Source organism: Homo sapiens, chromosome 3 (assembly GCF_000001405.40).
Source record: "Homo sapiens chromosome 3, GRCh38.p14 Primary Assembly".
Classification (NCBI taxonomy): Eukaryota; Metazoa; Chordata; class Mammalia; order Primates; family Hominidae; genus Homo; species Homo sapiens.
In genome coordinates this window covers 186051221-186076090 of record NC_000003.12, presented here as the reverse complement: position 1 = coordinate 186076090, position 24870 = coordinate 186051221, and the positions used below count along the sequence as shown (strand labels likewise).

Sequence of the window (24870 nt, the reverse complement as noted above, 5' to 3'; positions counted from 1 at the left end):
AATGTTTTTTCCTTCAGCCTTCCCAATCTTGTGAGTTTTCTCATTGTGTTATTTATGATGTTTACATGTGCTGGGTGGAGGAACTTAGAAAAATATTCCTATAGTACTGGCCGTATATATTTTTGGCTTTTATTAAACCGTATCTCATTATATCTTGAGTTGAGGAAAGCCCTGCAATTCAACTGAAGAAGCTCCACTAAGAAAAATGTATCTCTAAGAATTTTGGAATACACTGCTTTCTCACTTACTTGACATCAACCAAAGAGGTTAAAACCCAAGAAGCAGCAACATTTAAGAAAATGCTCCTGTACCTGAAGAATCCTCTGCTTCTGGATAGCCCCTAAGGGCATCAGTATTGTGGTAGGCTAGCATGCTGTAATTGACAGAACAAAATGTGTAGTGCTGGAGTCATCAGGAAAAGGTCAACTGGGTAGTGTCTTCTGAAGGAGGAAACAGCCTAAGCTGTTTGAGAATGTCAAGAACGTCTGCTTCGGTGGTTATTATTGAGGATTCAGAGCTTAAAGGGATGGGCTAAGTTTTCTGGAATTTTGATTTAACAAAAACTACCAATTCCTTAAGGATGCTAGATAAATTAAGAGATTTTATATACTCGTTTTTCCTCTTGTTTTTTCTTCCTCTCTTAAAGTTCATTACCCTTAAAGTAAATTGCTATTCATTTTTTGTCCTTCAGATTTTGTAGTACAATAATTTTTAGAGAGGAATGAACTTGACTGTAAGTCACATTTGTAGCCTGGCCTGGAATAAAGTGAATGTGCCTGATGCATCTCTTCTCCAAGTGCCTGTTAATAACATGTTGTGTATGGCAGCACAGATTCACTTTGGGATCTGAAACTGAGTTTCATGGATGCTTAATGGATCCTTCTTTGACAGACTGAATGATGTTCTTGTAATGGTTAGAGTGCGTAGGTTTTTTTAGTTCTGAGTCTTAAGAGGGTTTGTTTTTAGCATTTCATCATGTTTACTGTAGGCTTCTTGTTACCTTTTAACAAGCTAAAGGACATTTCCTTTTATCCCCAGTTTACTGAAAGTTTTTTAACATGAACAGAGGTTGAAATTCATTAAACATTTATACTGCCTCTTTTGGGGTGATCAAATAATTTTCTCCTTTAATTTCTTAATATGGTGAGTTACACTGATTTATATGAAACCAACCTTGCATTCTTGTGACAAACCTAACTTGTTTATTCTTTTTTTTTTTTTTTTTTTTTTTGGAGACAGAGTCTAACTGTCGCCCAGGCTGGAGTGCAGTGGCGCCATCTGGGTGCATAGCTGGAATTATAGGCGGGCACCACCACGCCCAGCTAATTTTTATATTTTTAGTAGAGACAAGGTTTCACCATGTTGGCCAGGCTGCTGTCAAACTCCTGACCTCAGGTGATCCACCCATCTCGTCCTCCCAAAGTGCTGGGATTACAGGCATGAGCCACCATGCCCAGCCCTAACTTGTTTATTCTGTATTATATTTTGTACATTGGTGAGTTTGGGTTTTCTAATATAAATATATAAGACTTCCACATCTGTCTTCATGATTGAGAAAGTACATAATTTTTCTTTCTTATATTGTCCTTGCTAGGTTTTAGCATTAAGGTTATACTCATCAAATGAGTAGAGGGTGTCTTCCGTTTTCTATATTTTAGAACATCTCATGTGAAATTGGAAGTCTTTATTCCTTGAACTTTTTGAAGAATTTACTGCTAACAACCATTTGGGCCTGGCATTTTCTTTGTAGGAAGATTTTTAATTACTGGCTCAGTGTCTTCACATTTTACAGTTTTGCCCTGGATTTCTATTTAGTTGAATAAATTTAATAAATAAATTTTTCTAAGAAGTTGTCCATTTTGTGTGAGTTTTAAAATTAATTGACATAAAGTTATTCATGGTGCCCTTTCTAAAATCTCTATAGCATCTGTAGTTGTCTTTTTCATTTTTGATATTATTTATATAGACCTTTTTTTTTCCTTAGTCTTGGCAGACAATATTGTCTTCAACAAATCTACTTTTGGCCTTACTTATTCTCTCTCGGGTGTTTTCTGTTTCATTGATTTCTGCTCTCACTAAAATACTTTATTCTTTGTTTTCTTTGGGTTTATTCTGTTTTTCCAACTTATTTGTTGTATGATTAGCTCACTAATTTTTAGCCCTTTTTCTTTATAATATGTAAGCACAAAACCATATAAAATTTCTCTTAAGGCTGGGGTGACTGTACATGGAAGTTTGCCAGGTCACTTATGGTCTGTCTATGCCTTGTTTAGAAGTGATTGCTAATAGCTTCTTGCACTCTCCAAAGGATCCTGGTTTGGACAATCAGTTATTTGATCTCCCTACCCAAGTTCTGCTTTAGATACATTGCACAGGTTCTGATTTGCAGTACTTTAAAAATTCAGCTCCAAGTATTTTCTATTATTTCTTTCAACCTTGGAGTTCTTTATAGATATGTTTCTTAATTTCTAAACGTATGAGATTTTTCTGGTTGCCTGGACTATATGATTTTTATTATCTCTCATCCAGAGAGTATTTTTAAATGATTGTAGAAACAGTATAGGCCAGTGGCTCTGGAGTTGGACAGACTGACAGATCTGGGGTTGAATCGCCGCTCTGCTGCTGTGTGACCTCAGGCAGGCACTCAACTTCTCCAAACTTTCGTTTCTTCGTCTGAAAATAGGATAATAGATACCACACAGAAGCGTTGGGTAGATTAAATAAAATCACGCTTGGACAGAGGTGTTCAGTAAATGTTAGCTTCTATGACAATTTTACTTTTTGAAAATCACTTTTATTTTACATAAACTATACTAAAGGACACTTCCTTAAATGATGTAGGTATCGCAAACTGAGAAACTTCATTGTTTAATGTTAAGTTTTTAAAATGTAATGCTGCCTTTCTCCCTGATCTTTTCATCATCACACTAATATTTTTTGTTTTGTTTTGTTTTGTTTTGAGACGGAGTCTCACTCCATCGCACAGGCTGGAGTGCAGTGGTGCAGTCTCGGCTTACTAAAACCTCCCCCTCCCGAGTTCAAACGATTCTCCTGCCTTAGCCTCCCTAGTAGCTAAGATTACAGGAGTACACCACCACACCCGGCTAATTTTTGTATTTTCAGTAGAGGTGGGATATTACCATGTTGGCCAGGCTGGTCTTGAACTCCTGACAGGTTATCTGCCTGCCTTGGCCTCCCAAAGTGCTGGGATTACAGGTGTGCACCACCACGCCCAGCCAAAGTTATTAATGTTATATCTACAACTAATACTTTCACCATCTGATATCCTGGGGACATGTCTTAGTTTCATCACCATCCCTCTCCCATATTTGATCTTGAGAAGTCAGACAAACAGGTAGGCCTACAAAGGACATGCTTTTTGTTCCTTATCTCTCAATGTCTTCTCACAGTTTAAATGGGCCCATTTGAGTCTCAGCAATGTTGGCAGGCCTTATGGAGTTGTTTCAGAGTTCTTTGGTGTACGTTTAGGGACAGTGTCTGGCTCTTCGTTATATCGCAGGAAAATAAACATCATTGTGAAGTTGGCACATTGCCACCTCCAATAAAAATCAGCATTCTCTTTCTGAAAAAGGAGAATGGATATTGAAAAGGCAACCAGTGGGCTCCTTTGATTTGTGCATGGTTTGTGTGTGTCATAGTCTTCCAGTTCCTTAAGATCTTCTCTTTTATTTGCATATCTTTTTTTTCTTTTTTTTTTTGAGATAGAGTCTCACTCTGTCACCCAGGCTGGAGTGCAGTGGTGTGATCTTGGCCTCCACCTCTCGGGTTCAAGCAGTTCTCCTGCCTCAGCCTCCCGAGTACCTGGGTTTACAGGCATTCGACACTGCACCTGGCTAATTTTTTTGTGTTTTTAATAGAGACAGGTTTCACCGTGTTGGCCAGGCTGGTCTCAAACTCCTGACCTCATTTAGGGAACTCACATGGTGATCTGCCCACCTTGGCCTCCCAAAGTGCTGGGATTACAGGCCTGAGCCACTGCTACAGGCTGACGCCTGTAATCCTAGCACTTTGGGAGGCTGAGGTGTGTGGATCACTTGAGGTCAGGAGTTTGAAACCAGCCTGGCCAACGTGGTGAAACCCTGTCTCTACTAACAATACAAAAAAATTAGCCATGTGTGGTGGCAGGCACCTGTAATCCCAGCTACTTGGGAGGCTGAGTCAGTAGAATTGCTTGAACCCGAGAGGCGGAGGTTGCGGTGAGCCGAGATCGCGCCACTGAACTCCAGCCTGGACGACAGAGCGACACTCCATGTCAACGGTGAAACGGTTACAGGTTTCACCGTGTTGGTCAGGCTGGTCTCAAACTCCCGACCTCATGTAAGGAACTCACAAGGTGATCTGCCCGCCTCGAGCTCCCAAAGTGTGGGGATTACAGGCCTGAGCCACCATGCCTGGCCATATTTGCATATCTTCTGATTTTAGCTTGGGAGTTGTGGGGAGAAGGTGGGGCAGTTGAAGATAATGTTTATTGAGAACTTACCAGTGTTATAACAGGGCCGGGCCTTATAACATACATTATCTTACATCATCTTTACAAGGTATCCTGGCTGTCCTTATTTTTTTGGAGAGGAAACTGAGGCTTCAGAGCGGTTAGATAACTCATCCAAGGTCACACAGCTACTGAGTGGTAAAGGTTGGACTTCAGCCTAGGATGTTCTGACTTCACAGCCACAGCCTCTTACCCAGCTGTGCTGCTTCTCGATTTTCCGTCTTCTTCCCTGAGCCTTAACGGAAGTACTAAGTGCATGATGTTGATTTCTTGGCAGATTTTATGTATCATCTCTCAGCTGGCCTTTAAACGGCCACTGCTTCACCTGGCACCCATAATCACTATATAACCTCTGTCAGATCCTTTTCTCCTTTTTTTTTTTCCTGTGAGCATTGTGTTTACTCTGTGTGCTGGCAGCAGAAACCAGAAAGGAAATGCAGAAAAAGCATCTAACGGTTTTCATAACGTAAACCAAATGTTGGGAGTGTGGGTGAGCTCGTGGGAGGAAAGGCGCTATATAAATCTGACAAATAAATAAATAACTAGTTCTTTAAATAAACTGGCACCGAAAAAGCCTTAAACTGTGACCTATTGAATTTAGGCTTATTCGGAGTCAGAAGTCCCTTTGCTCACCAAATGTGAGTTCCTTACACGTGCACTCTGTTGGGCTAATGGTGGGAGTGGATGGAAGGGAGGAGGTTAAGGGGAGGAAGAGGAGGTTTGGTAGGAACCAGGCTGTGCCTTCACTGAAAGTGATTGCCTGCCTTGGTAAATTAGAGGCATCTTTGTTGTAGCTGTATTATGTATACAACACATTCTTAGATACTTCAAAAGGACTGGAGAAGGGAGGGTGGTTCAAGTGAAGGTCAGTGAGTAAAGTTCACAGGATGTATTTTGAGGACAAGGACTGAATGACTTCACTAATCTCTGCACATAAAAGACATTATCAGCAGCAAGCTCTGAGAATCTTTCTTCCAAATATGTTGGCTTTGTGACCTACCCCTGAGATCCCCCTTGGCCACTCCTGCTGTCTCAAGACAAACCAGTACGGAACAATCCCAATTATAGAATCTGTTCTGCAGATCACAGGCCTCTAAGCTTTGCGCATCCTTAAAGTTATGCCGCGGGGAGGGGATGAGGTTGCTGGCTAGTGCCCATGTGGAAGTACCTTTTCCTGAGGAGGCCATACCAGGCCAACTCTAGAGTTTCATTCTGGAAGGTGAGAAAAGATGAGCACTAAGCGGAAGTGAGGCCACCAGCCTGCCAGCTGCAGAGGCTCTGGTTACAGAACTGAGCGGCACATGCCATCTCGGAGCTATCAAAGGAACTGATTTCTGGAGGTCACCTTCGAAGGTGCTGGGATGGTGGCAGAGGGGAAAGGGAGAGAAAATGGAAGGCGTTACTACCATTCCTTTCAAGTAGCACAAGATGTGGGCACTTTACAAAAATAAGGCCTTAAGAATATCTTCGGCCGGGCGCCGTGGCTCACACCTGTAATCCTAGCACTTTGGGAGGCCGAGGCGAGCAGATCACTTGAGGTCAGGAGTTCGAAACCAGCCTGGCCAATGTGGTGAAACCCTATCTCTACTAAAAATACAAAAAAAAAATTAGCCAGGCATGATGGCAGGCACCTGTAATCCTAGCTACTTGAGAGGCTGAAACAGGAGAATTGCTTGAACCCAAGAGATGGAGGTTGCAGTGAGCCGAGATTGTGCCACTGCACTCCAATCTGGACAAGAGCGAGACGCCGTCTCAACAAAAAATAAAAAGAATACCTTCATCAGCTGGGTACCGTGGCTTTTGCCTGTAATCCCAGCAAACTTTTGAGAGGCTGAAACAGGCAGATCACTGAGTCCTGGAGTTCAAGACCAGCCTGGCCAACATGGTGAAACCCCGTTTCTACTAAAAATCGCAGCTACTTGGGAGGCTGCGGCAGGAGAACCACTTGATCCCGGGAGGCGGAGGTTGCGGTGAGCTGAGATCGAGTCACTCGAGTCACTGCACTCCAGCCTGGGTGACAGAGCAAGACTTTTTTTTAAGTCTTTTTTTAGACTTTTTTTAAAAAAAAAAAAAAAAAAACAACTTCGTCTCTCTTTTCTGAAAGAATTCCCTTTAGGTTTGCGGCATGCTGCCGGTGCCCATGTTCTAAACGTCAAGTGTAAACCTGAGACGGGAATTTACACTTCTTCAAAGACCATTGAAAGGTTTCTTGAAGAAGTTGTGCCGTAAGGCATTCAGCGCCCCATGAAAGGCTATCAGCCCACTGAACCTTCAGTAGTTGGTAAAACTTGTTTAAGACATTGGCCAGGTGGATTCTGAGGCTTTTGATGTCTGGGATAAAAGGATAAGTACATGTAAATTGCCCAGTAGTTTTCATATTATAAAATGATCTTACCGTGCTGCTTTAGGTAGAGTAGTAAAGGCAGTATATTGTGCTGTGCTATACCCTGATGTAAACAGTGTTCTATCTGTACACAGATCTCTTCAGTTTAAGATTGTAAATCTTGATGTTCTAGAAATCTGCTGACCACCTGTTCCCACACATTGATTCAAATCAAATTCAAACTATTTTATTAAAGCTATTCAAGAATTCTTTGAATTAATAGAATTCAAGCTAAAAGTAGAGAATAAGACCTTAATATTACAGGATTGTATTATTTTTCCTTGAAGCTTGGCTCCTACTTTCTAACTGAGGGTATATATTCACAAATGCTTTTCTTTATACACATAGATTAGTGCTTCCTGTCTGTTTCATGGACTGAGAGTTCACACATCTCCAGCCTTCCACAACCACCTTCCTAAACTCTATAGTCTGTCAATTATGGCTGTGGCAGAAACCATACTTTACAGACATGATTGTATTTCACCATTTCAGGAGCATTTGGAGGATAATACATCCCCATGTCACAGATAAGCAAACAAAGCCAAGAAACTTTGCCTTTGGTCACTTCCCTACTAAGGCACGGCAGGCTTTCCCTTCTACACTGCACACCCAACAGGGAAAGGGCAGCTGGCACACATCTGGATTTATCTGACAGCTGAAGAGTGTTAAGGAAACTCGACTAGTAGCAACAGGTTTTTATTCTATCTTGTTAAAAAACAGTGCATATTTATTATCAAACTATAGATGAGCAAAAAAAGAAAATCACCTAAAATTATAACCACCCCACAGATAGGCAGTGTTAATATCTAAATGTCAGTCTTTCTGTGGTTTTATATGACACCATACTACTACTTTTATTTTTGCTAAGCTTTGATACTCTACGTACTGTTTAGCAACCTTCCTTAATATGTCAAAAATACCTTTCCAAGACCTTATATATTTACATATTATGTAATTTCTAATGGTTGCTTTCAACCAAATGACTGTATCATAATATATATAGCCAGTTTCCTTGTTAGACAGCTGCATTGGTGACCATCTTTGTAGTTATACCTGATCATCTGTGACTGAATTGCTGTTCAGGTACCTGGCACAGAATTAGTAACTGCCTGCTCATCTTCCAAGCTAAAAGGAAAAACACTTCTCTTCTGACTTTGTTACTTTTTTAATTACTAATGAGTTAAACTTTTTGTTTATGACCATTCCTATTCTGTAAGGATATTCCTGTTTATGTCCTTTGCCCATTTTTTTCCTCTTGAGATATTCATCTTTTGTTAATTTCTAAAAGCTCTTTTTGCCAACAGTGAGATTCCTGTATCTGTGGAGATTTTTCCTCAGTTTTACTTTTGGTTTTGTTTCTGGTGTTTTCTGACTACTGCAGATTCTTTCCCCCTGGTTTGATGTGTTTCTTTTGGTTTTGTTTCCGATGTCTTTTTAAGTTATAGAAATTTATACAGTGAGGTATATCCAGGTTTATCTTGATGATTTCTGCTGTTGGTATGATACTTAGGTTTTCCCTCACTCCCAAGTTTTGTAAGTTTTCATATATATTTACTTTCATATGATGGTTTCACTTTTTTTTTTTTTTGAGACAGTCTTGCTCTGTTGCCCAGGCTAGAGTACAGTGGCGCAATCTCGGCTCACTGCAACCTTCACCTCCTGGGTTCAAGTGATTCTGATGCCGCAGCCTCCTGAGTAGCTGGGATTACAGGTGCACAAAACCACGCCTGGCTAATTTTTTTAGGTTTTTTTGTTGTTGTTTATTTTGAGACGGAGTCTCGCTCTGTCACAAGGCTGGTGTGCAGTGGCGCTATCTCAGCTTACAGCAAACTCCGCCTCCCAGGTTCAAGCGATTCTTCTGCCTCAGCCTCCAGAGTAGCTGGGACTACAGGCGCGCACAACCACATCCAGCTAATTTTTGTATTTTTAGTAGAGACGGGTTTCACCATGTTGGCCAGGATGGTCTCAATCTCTTGACCTCGTGATCCCCCCGCATTGGCCTCCCAAAGTGCTGGGATTACAGGCATGAGCCACCACCGTGCTGGGCCAATTTTTTTGTATTTTTAGTAGAGATGGGGTTTTGGCACGTTGGCCAGGTTGGTCTTGAACTCCTGACCTCAAGCGATCTGCCCGCCTCAGCCTCCCAAAGTGCTGGGATTACTGGCATGAGCCACAATGCCTGGCCTGGTTTCACTTTTTATATTGGAACCTTTAATCCATATGAAATTTATTTTGGTATCTGTATAAAATGGGGTCTAACTTTTTTCCCCAACTAATTTGAAATGCTAACCTTAACAAGTAGTAAATTTTGGAATATACTTGACAGTTTTTGGCTTGCCATTAAATTCCTTTGACCTGCCAATCTCTCAATTTGTTGTATTATTGTTTTAATTATTGAAGTTTTATGACATATGTCAGTAGCTAGTGGGTCCTTATGCCTTTTCAAAATAAAGTTTAGAATCATTTTGTCAAGTTAGTTGGGAAGGCATTTGCTTTTATAGATTAATTTTCAGTGAATCAATAGCTTCAAAGTCCTAAATATATTCTCTTAAATCTTTTTTCTTTCTTTTCCTCTGAAAACAATTTTGAGATTTTATTCTTATATGGCCTATAGGTTTCCTGATTATTCCTAGGAATGTTATGTTTTTTATTGCTACTATGAATGGGATTCTCTCTCTTTTTTCTTTTTAACTACATTTTCTAACTGGTTAATTTGTATTCAGTCTTTAAAAATTCCTTCTATCTATAGGTGAGAGAATGGATGAACTAGTGAACAAACATTTATGTATATGTTAGTGCTATTTGCAGATAATTGGTCTCATATATTCAGATACATAATCTGGCCCATCTATACAGATAGACTGTGCATAAAATATACATACATGGAAGATAAGAGGCTACCACATCATTGCTTTGATTTTTTTTTTTTTTTTTTGCCACTTCCTGACTCAAGAGCTTCGAAATACACAATGTAATTTTGGGAAGAGGGTAAAATGCCCAGAAATAAGCATTATTAAGTACTTTGCAAATAATTTCATTAATTGGAACTTCTAGTCCCCAGTGCTCAATCATAGTAGGAATTCATCAAGTCTTTGTTCAACATGAAAACCTCTTTCTTCTTACAGATTTCAGAGACAACTGTCTGAACCCTGCCACCCCTTCCCTCCTCAGCCAGGAGTTCCTGGAGATAATCGCCCCAGTTACCATCGGCAAATGTCAGAACCTATTGTCCCTGCAGCTCCCCCGCCCCCTCAGGGATTCAAACAAGAATACCATGACCCACTCTATGAACATGGGGTCCCGGGCATGCCAGGGCCCCCAGCACACGGGTTCCAGTCACCAATGGGAATCAAGCAGGAGCCTCGGGATTACTGCGTCGATTCAGGTCAGCATCAAATTGTGCTATTCTTTGCTTCATTCTTGCATTCTTCTGTCTCGTTATTCAGTGTCTTATACATGCAGGGCCTTGGGGACAGGAATTTTTATAAGAATTTTTTATAATTTTTATAAGAATTGCCCTCAAATAACTTAGGAGCTAGTAGAGCTGACATGTTTATGCGCAATGGAATACAAAACAAAACAGAAAAGCTATGTAAGTGGTAGGAAGTGCGGTAGGCATTCAGAAGTGGTATGAAGTACATCTCTGAGTCCAAGCCTGGAGAGTGTTGGGGTTCAGTTTTGGATGGAATTTGCTCGACCTTCTCTGAGATAATACATAGATTGATCTATTCAGGCACCAGTTGGTTATGGGAAATGCTGAGGAAATAGGCAGAAGGGAGAGACCTGTTGCTTTATGACAGAAAAATTACCAAGTGTGAGGTAGTGATCGTGTGTAAACATTTCCATCAGCATTCCTCTGGAAAGCTTTGATGTATTTTTCTCAGGAGTAGCATGAACAGCAACATTTTTTCCTTTAAGACTGACATTTTGATCTGTCCTGATGGGTTTTGCACCCCACTCCACTCCCTTAAAGCAAGACACTCAACAGAGGTTACCATATCTGTAATTCTTTGATCTGAGTTGTATTGCCAGGGTGATGGCTCATCCCACATGGACACAACTCAAATTACTGTCTTTCGTCTCGATGGACACTGATAACATGATGGCTGAAGAAGAGATCACTTGAGTGTGGTTTGGTTTCAGTATGACAGCCCCAGCATGGCAAAAATGGACCAAACTGCAATCCTCTACCCCTTCCAATGCTGGTCCTGGCTTCCTAACTTCAGGTCCCCTAATCCCTTTGGCCTAAAAATACTCCCACCTGTTGGAGCAAAATTAGATGTGACCACCAGCAGTAAAGGGGAGCAAATTAGAAAAGATCTAAAGCAGTCCTCTTCCCGTTCCCACCCTAACACCCAGGAGTCAGCATGGGCAAGAGGCCAGGCTTGGCCTTTTGAAAGCCAGTATTTTTTCCCCTGCCATTGGCTCTTTCACCAGATTTAGTGTTAACACATTTCTAAAATAAGTGAACAATGAGAGTGAAACATCTTTTTTTTCCTCCCGTGACTCTTGATTAGGAGAGCCTGCCTTTCAGCTGGTGGGTTATGGTGTTTGCCATCTTGCTTATTGGTGTGGCACCTCTTTCCCAGGACAAAGCCAGAAAGACATGACCCCAGAGCAGGAAGTTTAGGGGCTTTACCACAGAGCTGCAGTTGACCGATGTGCTGTTTCTGCTGCAGAAACTATTGACAGGATTGTGTCCACCTTTGCTTTCCTTTCAGAAGTGCCTAACTGCCAGTCATCCTACATGAGAGGGGGTTATTTCTCCAGCAGCCATGAAGGTAAGGAACCTGCTTTTCTTTCCTCTTCTCTCCTCTCTCCTCTCCTTTCTTCCTTTCTTTCTCTCGGCTTTTCTTTCTCCTACCTTCCTTCCTTCCTCTTTCTTTGCTTGACTAATACCCAAGCTTAAAATTGCTCAGTTTCCAGGCTAAGATTTGAGATCATAGTTTAAACCTTGCTTAGCTCATGAATATGAGAGCTGATTGATTGTAATCTTCAATTATTTTGCACGCAGGGTTTCAAGCATGCCCCTAAGCCCTGTGAGGGCTGCCATTTTCATTAGCAATGACCCCAACTTTTTAACAGTATAGGACAATTTGGAGAAAAAACAAACCCACCTTATTTCCACATTTCCAGAAATGGAGGTTATGTTTATATAACACTATCAGCTGAAACTGGAATTTAGGAGTTATGTCAGTGAGGGTGGTTTTTATATGTTTTACAGTTATGTCAGTGAGGGTCCAAGGATGTCTTAGAGTTTTAAAAATGTGTCTCTAGGTTTTTTACTTAGTTTGAGTGCTTGGGTGGGTAACTCTTCATTGTAATTATTATTATATGATAAATGGTTGCCATTTTTAACATGGGAGGGAAATTGAAGGTATTCTTCACCAACCTTGAGGGGGCTGGTGGGGAAGTGAGCTAGCAGGGGGTAGGGAGTACTGGGGATGGGAGTGGAGAGGTATGTTATGTACAAAATGCATTATTGAAGGACACAAATGTTTTCTCATTGGATTTTTAAAAAATACCTCAAAGGAGAAACATGAGAACAGATATAAAGCAGTTTACCCACAAGCCTGGATTATCACATATCCTAACATTTATTTTTATGTGAAGATGATCGTTTTATATCAAGGGTGTATGCTGTCTGCTCAAGTTCTTGTGCCCTATCCCTTTGGGACCAACTTAATTCAGTAAGTCTCTGAGATCATCTCACTCTAATTAGGAGCAGGAGCAGTAGGCAAGGTTGAGCCTGTGACTTTGCCTTCATTAGTGCTGACCTACTAATTAGGGTGAAAGTAATTGGGAACAAATAAGATGCATAAGTGTTCCATAGCATATGGCTTCAAGGAAGTGGTCAGAATGGAGCTAGAATGTCAGTTTCTTGGAGGAGCTTGCTTTTTTTCATCTTTTTTTGTTGTTGTTGTTGTTGAGACGGAGTCTCGCTCTGTTGCCCAGGCTGGAGTGCAGTGGCATGATCTCCGCTCACTGCAAGCTCTGCCTCCCAGGTTCACGCCATTCTCCTGCCTCAGCCTCCCAAGTAGCTGGGACTACAGGCGCCCGCCACCACGCCCGGCTAATTTTTTGTATTTTTAGTAGAGACGGGTTTCACTGTGTTAGCCAGGATGGTCTCAATCTCCTGACCTCGTGATCCACCTGCCTCGGCCTCCCAAAGTGCTGGGATTACAGGCGTGAACTACCGCGCCCAGCCTAGTTTTCTTTCAAATATAAACTTTTGTAGCTTATTTTTAGCACAAGCAATAAATACTGATTACATAAAATTCAGAAAATACAAACAGACAAAAAGATGAAAATTAAATCTCACTGCCCAGAGATAACCATTAACTTGCTACATAGTCTTTCAATCTTTGCTGTGCATATGTAAATATAGGATTATACAGATCGTATAGGACTCATTGTTTTATAGTCTTTTTTTAAACAATAGTCATTAACTCAAATTGAACATTTACTATGTTTCAGACACTGTTATGTGTTCTTTAGATGCATAAATTCAGTTGTTTAATTCTCATAGCAGCCCTATAGGATAGATATTTCTGGGTTTGGTTTTGTTTTGTCTTTTTGAGACGGAGTCTTGCTCTGTCGCCAGGCTGGAGTGCAGTGGCGGATCTCAGCTCATTGCAACGTCTGCCTCCCGGGTTCAAGTGATTCTCCTGCCTCAGCCTCCCAAGTAGATGGAATTACAGGCGCGCGCCACCACGCCCAGCTAATTTTTTGTATTTTTAGTAGAGACGGGGTTTCACCATGTTGGCCAGGTTGGTCTCAGTCTCTTGACCTCGTGATCTGCCCGCCTCGGCCTCCCAAGGGATAGATGTTTCTATTTGCCCCATAGGGTAATGAAACCGAGACTCAGAAAGGAGAAAAGATGTGCCCAAGGGCACGTGGCTGTAAGAGTAGAGCCAGAACTCTAAGCCAAGCCCTGTGGCTCCAGAGCCCATACTCTTCATCTCCTTCCATATTTCACAGCCAATGTCATCTCTATAGCACCCAACATTACACTATGATTTCCTCATTAATGGCTGCACAGTACTCATTGCATGGGGATGCTTTTAGCTAATCACCTATTGCTGAAAAGTGGGTACTTCCAGGTTATTCTCAAATTCCATGAACATTCATCTAGCTAAGTGTTTTCTTGTTCTCTTGATTCTTGAAGCTAAGTTTCTGAAATTTCTGGGTAAAGGAGGGTATGACATTTTTTAAGGCATCTGCTGCCGGTTTTTGTGAGGGTCTGTTTTGTTGTTGTTTTTAGTACATTGTCACAGATTTTTAAATTTTACGATTTATCTAAAGAAGTAATTAGATGTGAATCAAAAGGAAGAAGGGATCCTTTTGTTGGGGGAGGATAATCGGGCTTTTAAGCTCCTGCATAAATGAATGACAGTAGCAAATCAGTGGGCTCATTTGATGGAAAGGAGCCCTGGTAGGGACTGAGATCATGCTTGAGGGATATGAAAGGCCTGGAGAGGTGGGCTCAGAGCTTAAAGTTACCCTTCTGGGCAAAGGCTAACTTGGTATGGTGGATTGAGGAGTTCCCTTCTAAACATTGAAATAGGGAAGTTTTTTTAGAACACCTTCCCCAGATGTATGTCTTCTTTTTCTCAAGTGTATTTCTCCCTGAAGATTTAAAGCAGTGTGATTCCCAAAATCTGTGGCAACAGCTTCACCTGGGACTTTTTAGAAATGCACATTCTCAGGACCCATCCCAGGCCTACTGAATCAGAACCCCCAGCGGTGGGGCCCAGCAGTCTGTGTTTTAACAAGTCCTGCAGGAGATTCTGATGCACCTTCAAGTTTGAAATCTACTGAGTAGTAACGGTTCTCAAGTTTGGTCAAACATTGGAATTACCTGAGGAGCTTCTAAAAATGTAGATTTCCAGGTTTCCTCCAGAGCAATTAAATCAGAAATTCTGGGGTGGGACCCAGGCTTTAGTAGTTTCTAAAGCTCCCCAGGTGATTCCAGTGTGCATCCAAGGTTGAGAACCACTGGTCTCTGTCATTTTAAATGAAAGTCAAAAGAGCTGATACTCATGAAGCATTGGGTGGCTTTTATAAGTGATTAGTTCATAAGAGCCGTGTTTATGGGTAGCTGCTTCGCACTCACTTGGTTAGATGGGAGACCGAGTGTTGTTTCACTGGGTACCCTGTGATGTTCTGAGTAAGTGTCCAGCCCTGGAAAGGCAGGGCTGTCTCCCGGACACTGGCTGTGATGGGCACAGCTGCATGGGGCTCTTTGAGGTTCCTGAATGTTTCTACAGAAGCAGTTGATGTCTGCAGCAGGCAAACTAGGAGGGAGTGGGGGAAGAGAGGGAGGAAAACATTTTGCATAATTACAACATTTAGGAAAGAGCATGCTCTTAAGGGAAATATTTTTAGCAAGGCATTGGGTTGCTTACTACACACAGACTATCTGGTGCATTTGTGTGTGTTTTCCCTCCACCCTTTCCCATTCCTTTCCCTGACTTCACACACATCAAAGAAGTTAGTTTCAAAGAATCCAGCATTTTTAATTGTTCTAAATTACCCTGACATGCTTTTCCTATCCTTATACAGGCTTGACCACAGATGCCTGTGAAACAGTTAAGGAAACAAGTGTTTCTGATTGGCATCTGTGATTGCTAAGATAGCCATCCTGCCTTAAGTGTTCACCTGGAGTCCTTGCATAATGTTTTGAGTCTTTCGTTTCTAGTTTGCCCCTCAAACAGGTCTTCCTTCCTGCCACCTTCATTTGAGTGATTAGATGATTGTGGCCACAACTGATATAACTGCTGGCTCAAATTCAACTGACTTAAATTTCACTTAAACCAATAGTATCTTCCAGATGGTGTAGAGGACCACATGTGGCGATGACTAGAAACCACAAGATACACCGCAGTGATACTTCTTATAGGCAGACCTTCATCTGATTAGCTTTGAAAACCAAACTGAGAATTTCTTCTAGATGTAGGTGGTTGTGTTTTTTTCTACATACTGTGAATGTATTTTTCTTACCTTAGAGGAGAAGAACTCTGAAAATAACATGGCAAGTTTGACAGATACGTAAACTTGAAGTAGTTCGCTTGTAATGACTTTATAATAAGACCATTAAAACATCACCGGAATATCAAAATACATATGGAAGATCGGGAAATATGTAGCTTCCTGGCAGGCAAGGCAAAATGTTTGAAGCATAGTGGATTATGAAAGTCTTGTTGGTAATACAGAGTATACCAGTTGGTCATAAAAGTCAGTTTAGTGCCAAATTGGAAAATAAATTTATCAGGAGTCATTGAATCCCTGACTTAAAAGTTAGCATTATATTCTTAAATATTTTTTAATGAAGACTATAAAACTTCTCATTTATTCAAATATTTATTTAGTACTTATGTGTAAGGTGCCATGAGGACACTAAGATACCAAGATACGATCCTTATCCTCAAGGAATTTAGAATCTTTGGTGGAGGATATAAGATCAAGCTCTGACATTATTCAGTTAATTTCTTAATAGCACTTACCACAATGTTGTACAATGACTATGTTTATTTTTTTAACTACCATTTATTACACACTTATGTACCAGGAGCTACTCTTGGCACTCTGGTATGAAGATAGAGAAATAGATCAGTTGAATGATACTAAATTAAACTCTTATAACAACACCATAAGGTAGGAATTTTTATCTGCTGCAATGAGGACACTGGAGCACAGAGATTAATTTATTCAAGATCGCACAGCTGACTGGAGTCCATCAGTACTATGCCACCTCTCGTTTCTTTTTCTCCTTTATTGTCTGTCGCCCCCAGTTGAGATGCAGGCTCCATGAGAACAAGGACCAAGTCTACATTCGCCTGGCTACCTACTCCCTTCTAGCACAACGCCTGGCATAAATACTTAGTGGATTAAATAATATATAAATGACAATAAAATAGACTTTGATGTCGTTAAGCAACAGAGAACTAATGCTTAGGGCTGAGAAAACAAAAATGAATAATATAAACCTCAAAGCAGTCTCAGTTGTGCAGAGTTTCTTCAGTCCCAGGCCTCTTAAAAATGGTGCTGCTCCTGCCAAGAAGCTACTTGATCTGGGTTGACTGAAGAAACAAAGAATGGTGAAATTATACCTTGGCACCTTTACTCACGGATTTTTCCTTTCTTTTTTTTTATTTTTTATTTTTATTTTATTTTTTTTTTTTTGAGACAGAGCCTCTCTCTGTTGCACAGGCAGGAGTACAATAGCGTGATCTCCACCCACTGTAACCTCCGCCTCCTGGATTCAAGCAATTCTCCTGCCTCAGCCTCCCAGGTAGCTGGGATTACAGGCGCCCACCACTATGCCCGGCTAATTTTTTGTATTTTTAGTAGAGATGGTTTCACCATGTTGGCCAGGCTGGTCTCGAACTCCTGACCTCAGATGATCCACCCATCTTGGCCTCCCAAAGCGCTGAGATTACAGGCTATTTGTCTTCAACAAACCAATCTAAAATCACTTATTTCCTACTCCTCCATAAGCCACATAGCACTTGTTATTATGGCTATCCTCATTCAGAACCCTTAAACCTTATAATTGCTCATGGAATTATAATTGCTCACCACCGTGCCCAGCCTCGTGGATTTTTTAAGTCGCAGTGAATCCTTCTCAGATCTAATGGAAGTCCTTCATTGCAGAGCCTTTTCACCTGCCTGCCCCCACTGCATTATCCAACACACACAGACCTGTAGTATGAGCCAGGTGAACTAACAGGAAAACGGAGCACAGGGAAGCACTGCTTATCAGACAGGAGCCCTGGGGCATTCTCCTAAGACGTGTGCTGGTAAAGGAGTATGCACTGGAGACCTTACACCTTGAGACAGGCTGAACTACAAGGAGGGATGTGACCCCATCCAAGTTATCTGTTACCTGGCTTTGATTTGAACCACCAATCTTGACAAGGTGCCTAGCGACATGGTGGTTAGCACTGAGTGTATATTAGGGGTTTGTGGATGAAGACTGTCAGGCCATCCTTCCTTCTTGAGCCCTTTAACTTTTTGCCTTGCCTTCTTTTATTTCGTTTGCATGTGTTGTTGGGCCAGTTCCTCCTTGACCTCTGTTTTGTCATCTATACAGTGAATTTGTTTCATTGCTAGAAAGTCTTTTCAGATCCTCTCCACTGTTTGGTAATAATACCCCCAATACTGCTTTCGAAATCCTCTACAGGCCCAAGTCTTTATTCATTTTGGCAACATTCTTTACCCTTCAAGCTCTTTCGTAATTGAACGAGGTATGTGAGTAGCTTGGATGAGTTAGTAGGAAAGGTTGAAATTAATTTTAGCTAAAAGGAAAATGGCAGGTCTGTGTACAGATCAACCAAATCCATCCAGCTAGGCCAACTGAAATAGAGATGTGTTTCCAGCTGTAAAGGCTTAGTCAGAGCAACATTGATCCATGCAGACCTCAGAAGCAAAATGCAAAGGAACGTACTGGTGACTCAGCACTTCCCTGCAGTCTTAGCTGTAAAAGCAGGAATTGATGCTGCTCTGACTGAGGCGCAGGTGATTACATCAGAATTGGAATGCCTAAGCCCTCTTGAAGTCCCTGAAAATTCAGTCTGCCATAGATACAGCAGTAGGACTTAGGATCTGAAATGATAGGATTGCACTCTAGTCCTTAAATCCATAGTTTTAGTACAACACAGAATTTGTTAAGCAACGTAGTCTTTCTTTTAAATTCTCTTTCAGGTTTTTCATATGAAAAAGATCCCCGATTATACTTTGACGACACTTGTGTTGTGCCTGAGAGACTGGAAGGTAAGTAGCCCCATCCAAGGTTTGTTGCCAGGTAGAGGTTTGGAGGTGTCAGAACACCTCAGCCATGACTCTCTTCCCAAGTCCAGTGATTAAATCAGCATGAACAACTCCTTTTTGTCCCAACCACCTGAGAAACTTAGGACTAAGCTATTGTGTGATGTGTCCTTGTCCCAAACAGGCAAAGTCAAACAGGAGCCTACCATGTATCGAGAGGGGCCCCCTTACCAGAGGCGAGGTTCCCTTCAGCTGTGGCAGTTCCTGGTCACCCTTCTTGATGACCCAGCCAATGCCCACTTCATTGCCTGGACAGGTCGAGGCATGGAGTTCAAGCTGATAGAACCGGAAGAGGTATGCACTGGATGCTGGACTCAGACGGGTTTTGATTTGTTGTTGTTGATGATGTTTTTTGTTTAGATTTCCATTGAGGCTTTTTGTGTCAAGTCTGCTCTTGCTTCTCATTCATATTCTGGCCTGGCCAGTGGGCTTGGCTGTATCCCTCCTATTAATGGGACAGTTTCTAATACATGGACAGGCAGAGTTCTCCAGTGTAGAATACATGAAAAGTATTTGTAACACTTCTGCAAAATTTAGGGGGCAAGATCATGAAGACTTATATTCAAATAGGATATGCTCTCCCTCTTGGAAAGTCTTTTTCAGGTGCTGTTTCAATGATACAGACTTGTTTTGGTCTTAGCCCCTGTGGGCCATAGTCTATCTCTGAGTCTACGTGAACATACTGTATGACATTTTGACAATATATTACAGGATACAACTACCCACTGTGTATTTCAAATGGCTGTAGCCTGGAGAAATAAAATTATCAGAGGTGGCTCAATCTTAATGAGCTTAGATTTTTTTTTTCAAAGGTGTGTTATGGCCGGGTGCAGTGGCTCACACCTGTAATCCCAACATTTTGGGAGGCTGAAGCAGGTGTATTGCTTGACCCCAGGATTTTGAGACCAGCCTGGGTAACATGGCAAAACCTTATCTCTACAAAAAATAAAAGAAAATAAAAATAATAAAAAATTAGCTAGGCATGGTGGTGTGTGTCTATAGTCCCAAATACTTGGGAGACTGAGGCAGGGAGGATCGATTGAGCCTGGGTGACAGAGCGAGACCCTGTGTCCAAAAAAATAAAATGAAAGTGTGTTATGTGACATCACAATAGAGTAGTTGAGAGATGATACAAACCTCAGTTATTTTAATAGGAAAAAAACACTGTTACTGTTTTTGTGCCCAGAACAGAAATACACTGTTGACAGAACCAGTGCCGTTTCTTCAGTGGAGAAGACACACCCTAGAATCCCTTTCCTGAATATCACATAACAAAGTAAATTAAATCAGGCTCTCAGTATAGCATATTCTAAAGGGGTTGATTTTTAATTTCTGTTTGATTTAGAATCTAGAGAGATTATAAATGGAACAGAAATAACTGCCCAAAAAAACTGACATACGCTTCTTTTAGTAGCATGTTCTTAGGCATATAAATTAAACCAGCAGATCAAAAGGCATCTTTGGGTTGGGTATAATTAAATTGGGAACAACACTCTTAGACACTCTTAGAAAGCATTTGAACGAGAATTGCTGTTTTCAGTGTTCAGTTAACTCTAGGGCTCGCTTTAGCACACCAGAGAAATACGCTGGCATGGGGTTAACAGGAGGAGGTAGCAACCGGGGACTTGGTTTGGAACAAGAAAGTGGTCTAAAGATTCAAATGGGAAAAGGAGGAGAATGTGTGGATTAGAAATTTATGAAGAATCCTGATTGATAGGAGAAGAAGGCAGACTTCATTCAAGGCAATTAGAAAACAAGATGTGCCTATGTGTTCCCTGTTTTATATTCACTCACGAGAATGGAAATGTGTCAGCATCTCTAGATGGACTAATTAAACAGCTTCTATTCGGTTCAGTCTACCTTCAGAGCTGGAGTTGAGTGCCACTGTGTTAGTTTAGTGCCTACGTGTTTTTTTCTGGCCATGTAGAAATAGAGCCATGTTTTAGGCTTCTAGCATCCCTGCAGAGCCATCCACCCCACGCCGACCCATGCCTCTCCTCACTGCTTTCTGAATAACGTGGCCTGGTTTATGTGAAGTTTGAGAAAAGCATGTCACCTAGGTTCACTGAGGCTTTCTGAAAGTAGTTCTGTCATGTGGGCAGCCCTTATTGATTTATCTTGTTTCACAAACAGGAGCTTTTATTATTTTATTGCCACTGCCTCGGGCCTAAGCACAGGCCGTCCAGCTGCAGGTAAACCTGGTTATGATCCTTCGTAAAGCTGTTATTGAATCTTCTGCACTCCTACCAGTGGCATAGAGAATGATGAACAGATGGCAAAGGGCCCCTGCTTTCTTACTTAATAAAGAAACTAATATTAATACAGAATGCTCGTAAATGCCAGGCAGCCAAGTCATATGAGAAGCCTGTGGTGTCCTTGAGCCTCCCTCGGTTGACCGGGCAGCTTTGTTTCTTCAGGAAATGGTGCTTTCCACCCCACCTTGAAGTCCCCAAGCTTTCCCTAAGCTCCAAATGTTCCTTTCTCTTCACCCAGGATCAGTTGGGTGCCACATGTGCACGTTAGCCTCAGGACAGGTGACATTTGCTGAGCTCCCCCCACCCCTCCTTGTATACCTGTGAGGGCCCTGTTCTTGTTAATGTCAGGAAGATACCAGCTTCTGGAAAAAGCTGTAAGAAGTCGTCATGGGGGAGCTTGAAGGGTGAAGCGGAGGAGGAAGCTGTTGGGACGTAATTGTAGGCAGCTGTGTGGCTGAGTAGTGCACTCTGGGTAATTATCCATAATATCCATTACACTGTGCATGGAAATTGTGGTTTTAGAACTGCGTTTTGGCAGGCCCCCTAATCAAATGTCTTTTGATAGTCATCCAGCTTAGCACCCTCTCAATTATGACTGACTCGGCTTTAATCTGGAGCCATTTTAACTGTGAATCTGCATTAATGAATATTTTGGGGGGTAGGGTTGTTTGTTGAACATGTGGCAGATAACTGCTGCTGGGAGGTTTGAAGGGATGGGCTGCTAGAAAGAGCCACTCCCTGGGCTGTGGCTGCTCTCTCTTTAAAGGGGAGAAGGAATAGGTAGATCCGTTAACTCCTTCAGCCTCAGTCCTCAAGATACGTGCTACCAAAGTAACTAATGAGAGAGAAGAAAGATCTGATGACAAGCTATTGCCTGCCTCCCCAGTCCCAGAAGAGGGGCAGCCCTAATTCCCAGCTGCTCTGGAGCTGAGCCGCCTCATGCATTACTGTAGAAGGAACAGCCGTGGTGAGGGCTACAGAATCACAGGGCTCTGGCCCGGGAGGATGAGTCAGTAACTATGGCTACCAGAGCTGCTTTGAAATCTGTGCGTATACCAAACCTTTCTCCAGTAAGCAATTGCATATGCAAGTGACAGCTGAGAGGTGGCCGCTGAAGTTGAAGAATATTCAAGGATTGTTTTCCACCCCTTAACATAGTAAAATGATGAGGCTGGGCTTCTCTGAAATTTCCCTGTGTCACTTGTGGCAGACAGCAATTAAAGATTAGTTTTATAAGGCATCATTGCTTTGAACAGGGTACAATGATGTATATTATTAGGTTAGCAGATGTCTCTTCTTACCATTATTTCTATTGGTTTTAAATGTTTATCTTCTCTAACCAGGATGTAATTTTTGGTTAATTTTGCCTTTTGGGCTGTTTCAAAGGTAGAGTAGAGTGGGTACCATATGGAGAAAAGAGGAGACCCAGGACATCGTGTCTGCTGTGGGGACATGAAGCAACTGAACGGAAATTGGACTTTCACAGGGTTTCTTGCAAGGCAGAGCAGAATCATTGCTATTATTGTAATTAAGAGAGATGCATTCTTATCAGATCATTTTTGGCTTTTATGAAAGGTCATTTTAGAATCCTGAATTTAGAAGATGTTGCTTTCATTCTGCCTAGATATTTTAAGGAAAAGGTTTATGTGAAATGCTGTTTTCTCTCTGATTCCTACTCCATGTTTAACATTTGGCTTTTAAAATATCGAAGGGGCCGGGTGCAGTGGCTCATGCCTATAATCCCAGCACTTCGGGAGGCTGAGGCAGGTGGGTCACTTGAGGTCAGGAGTTTGTGACCAGCCTGGCCAACATGGTGAAACCCTATCTCTACTAAAAATACAAAAATTAGTTGGGCATGACAATGGACACCTGTAATCCCAGCTGCTCAGGAGACTGAGGCAGGAGAATCGCTTGAGCCTGGGAGGCAGAGGTTGCAGTGAGCCATGATCGTGCCACTGCACTCCAGCCTGGGCAACAGAGTGAGACTCCATCTCAGAAAATAAAAATAAAATAATCGAAGGAATATAGTTTGTTTTTTTTTTTTAAGTTTCCAAAACTGACCTAAAATGCTCCAAACGTGACCCCTGACCCCTGGTTTGCATACATTTGAAAACCTCTGAGTAAAACTCACATTTCCAGGGTTATTCTACTACCTTGACAGTCATTCTCATAAGTAGGATTTTGGAAGCTGATATACTTGAGAACAGAAATTGCTTGGCTGCCGTGATAATTGGGTAAACTCTACTAGGAAGTTTTCCTGCTAGAAGGCTGCTTTGCCCAGAGCTCCAATTATATTGCCCTATCAGTGTGCCTCAGGTGGACTGGGTTGGATATAATGCATTTCAGAACTGTTTGGAAAGCCCTGTTAATTTTTCATTAAGTGGATAATGGTGCTACATGCTTTCATGTCCATTCTGCAAGTCTGCTGGGAGCATGGGATTGGATGGCAGCAGGCTGAAATGATCTGATTCCCCCTTAGTCCATGAGCTGCAATAAGTAAACATCTCCCAGCCCCCCTCCAATCTTATTAGAATTGAACTTTTGCTCTGCTGGCCCATTAGCAACTCACTAGTGTGTTTCTAATGTTTCAGGAATGACCATTCTAATTATTCCTTATTGACTGCTACAGAAACCATAGCACTTAATGGCAACACGTTAATGGTCTATGGGTATTGGTCAATAATTCATACGTGGAGAAATAGTAGAGGGCCTGCATCCTCTGGGATGTTAGCCAAGCCCTCTGCAATCTTAAAGTGCTAGGATTCTTCCATCTCTAGGTCTCACCTCCTAGTAGTTGTCACTGAATCATCGCCTTTGTTGAATGTTTGGTCTTGAGGGAGTTAAATGCCTTCCCTTCCAGGTCAGAGTAGCAGATCATTGACCAAAGCAGTCAGGTTACAGAACTGGCTCTGCTGGGATTGGGAGAGAACATGGGGCCCAGGGAATGCGTTTCCATTGCTCTTCACTTTCCTGTCTCTTCAGGTTGCTCGGCGCTGGGGCATCCAGAAGAACCGGCCAGCCATGAACTATGACAAGCTGAGCCGCTCTCTCCGCTATTACTATGAAAAGGGCATCATGCAGAAGGTGAGCCATTATACAAGACCCTTAGCCCACTCTGGTCTCTTTTAAGGAAAAAGTCCAGGGCTTCTGTAGTGAGACTGGTGATCGTCGCTACGAGGAAATTTTAGCCCCCTAAGTGATTCTGTGGTAGGAAACAATCTTGAGAAGACAAACTTGAGACAAGAATCAAATGAGATATAGAGTACATTTGATGCTGTTGGTTATGTGGAAACTAGAAGTTGCATGCAGAACACACAATAGAAAATTAGGCTTCTCTGCTTTCCCAAAACTGCTTCTATATATAGAAATTTCCAGAAACTTAGGCCAACTGTTGTATCCAAAAAGGACTACAGGGAATCAACTTGAAGGTCTCTACTTCAACAGCTTGATTGAAGTCTTTAGTTATTAAAACACCTAGACCTCCAAATCTGTTAGTTTGATATGCTCAGAAGTGTTAGAGGAATAAGAGCATCTGATTTTTCTTTCAGACTTACAGAAACTGGAACTCAAGTTAAAAACCCAACGTTTGTAGAATGGCAGCAGAGTCACCTGGTAGCAGGTTGCTCTTTGTGGAATAGAGGATGAAGCATATTTTGAAGAAATCAGTACAAAATTCTTCGTGGGATAGGTAGCAAGGGGCCACAGTCTTAACATCCCATGGATAAGTAGAAGATGGGAATGGCAAGTCTTTCTTAGCTACCAAATTCGTAATGTACTGTTGCCCAGATACTAGCATTTACACATTGAGCCAGTCTACCTGGCAGTAGCCAATAAGATGAACGTGGCAGAAGCATATGGGCAAAACTGCTGAGAACTTGTCTACAAGAAGCCAG

General features: G+C 41.8%; 1 protein-coding gene across 1 annotated transcript in view; it reads left to right on the top strand.

Moving 5' to 3' along the window:
• ETV5 (ETS variant transcription factor 5) overlaps positions 1 to 24870 on the top strand; it is a 62776-nt gene that overhangs the window by 32999 nt on the left and 4907 nt on the right. Inside the window, exons 8-12 of the mRNA NM_004454.3 lie at positions 10019 to 10278; positions 11615 to 11674; positions 18600 to 18668; positions 18847 to 19016; positions 23960 to 24061. Of these exons, the coding sequence (NP_004445.1) occupies positions 10019 to 10278; positions 11615 to 11674; positions 18600 to 18668; positions 18847 to 19016; positions 23960 to 24061 (661 nt within the window). The remainder of the gene's footprint in view (positions 1 to 10018; positions 10279 to 11614; positions 11675 to 18599; positions 18669 to 18846; positions 19017 to 23959; positions 24062 to 24870) is intronic.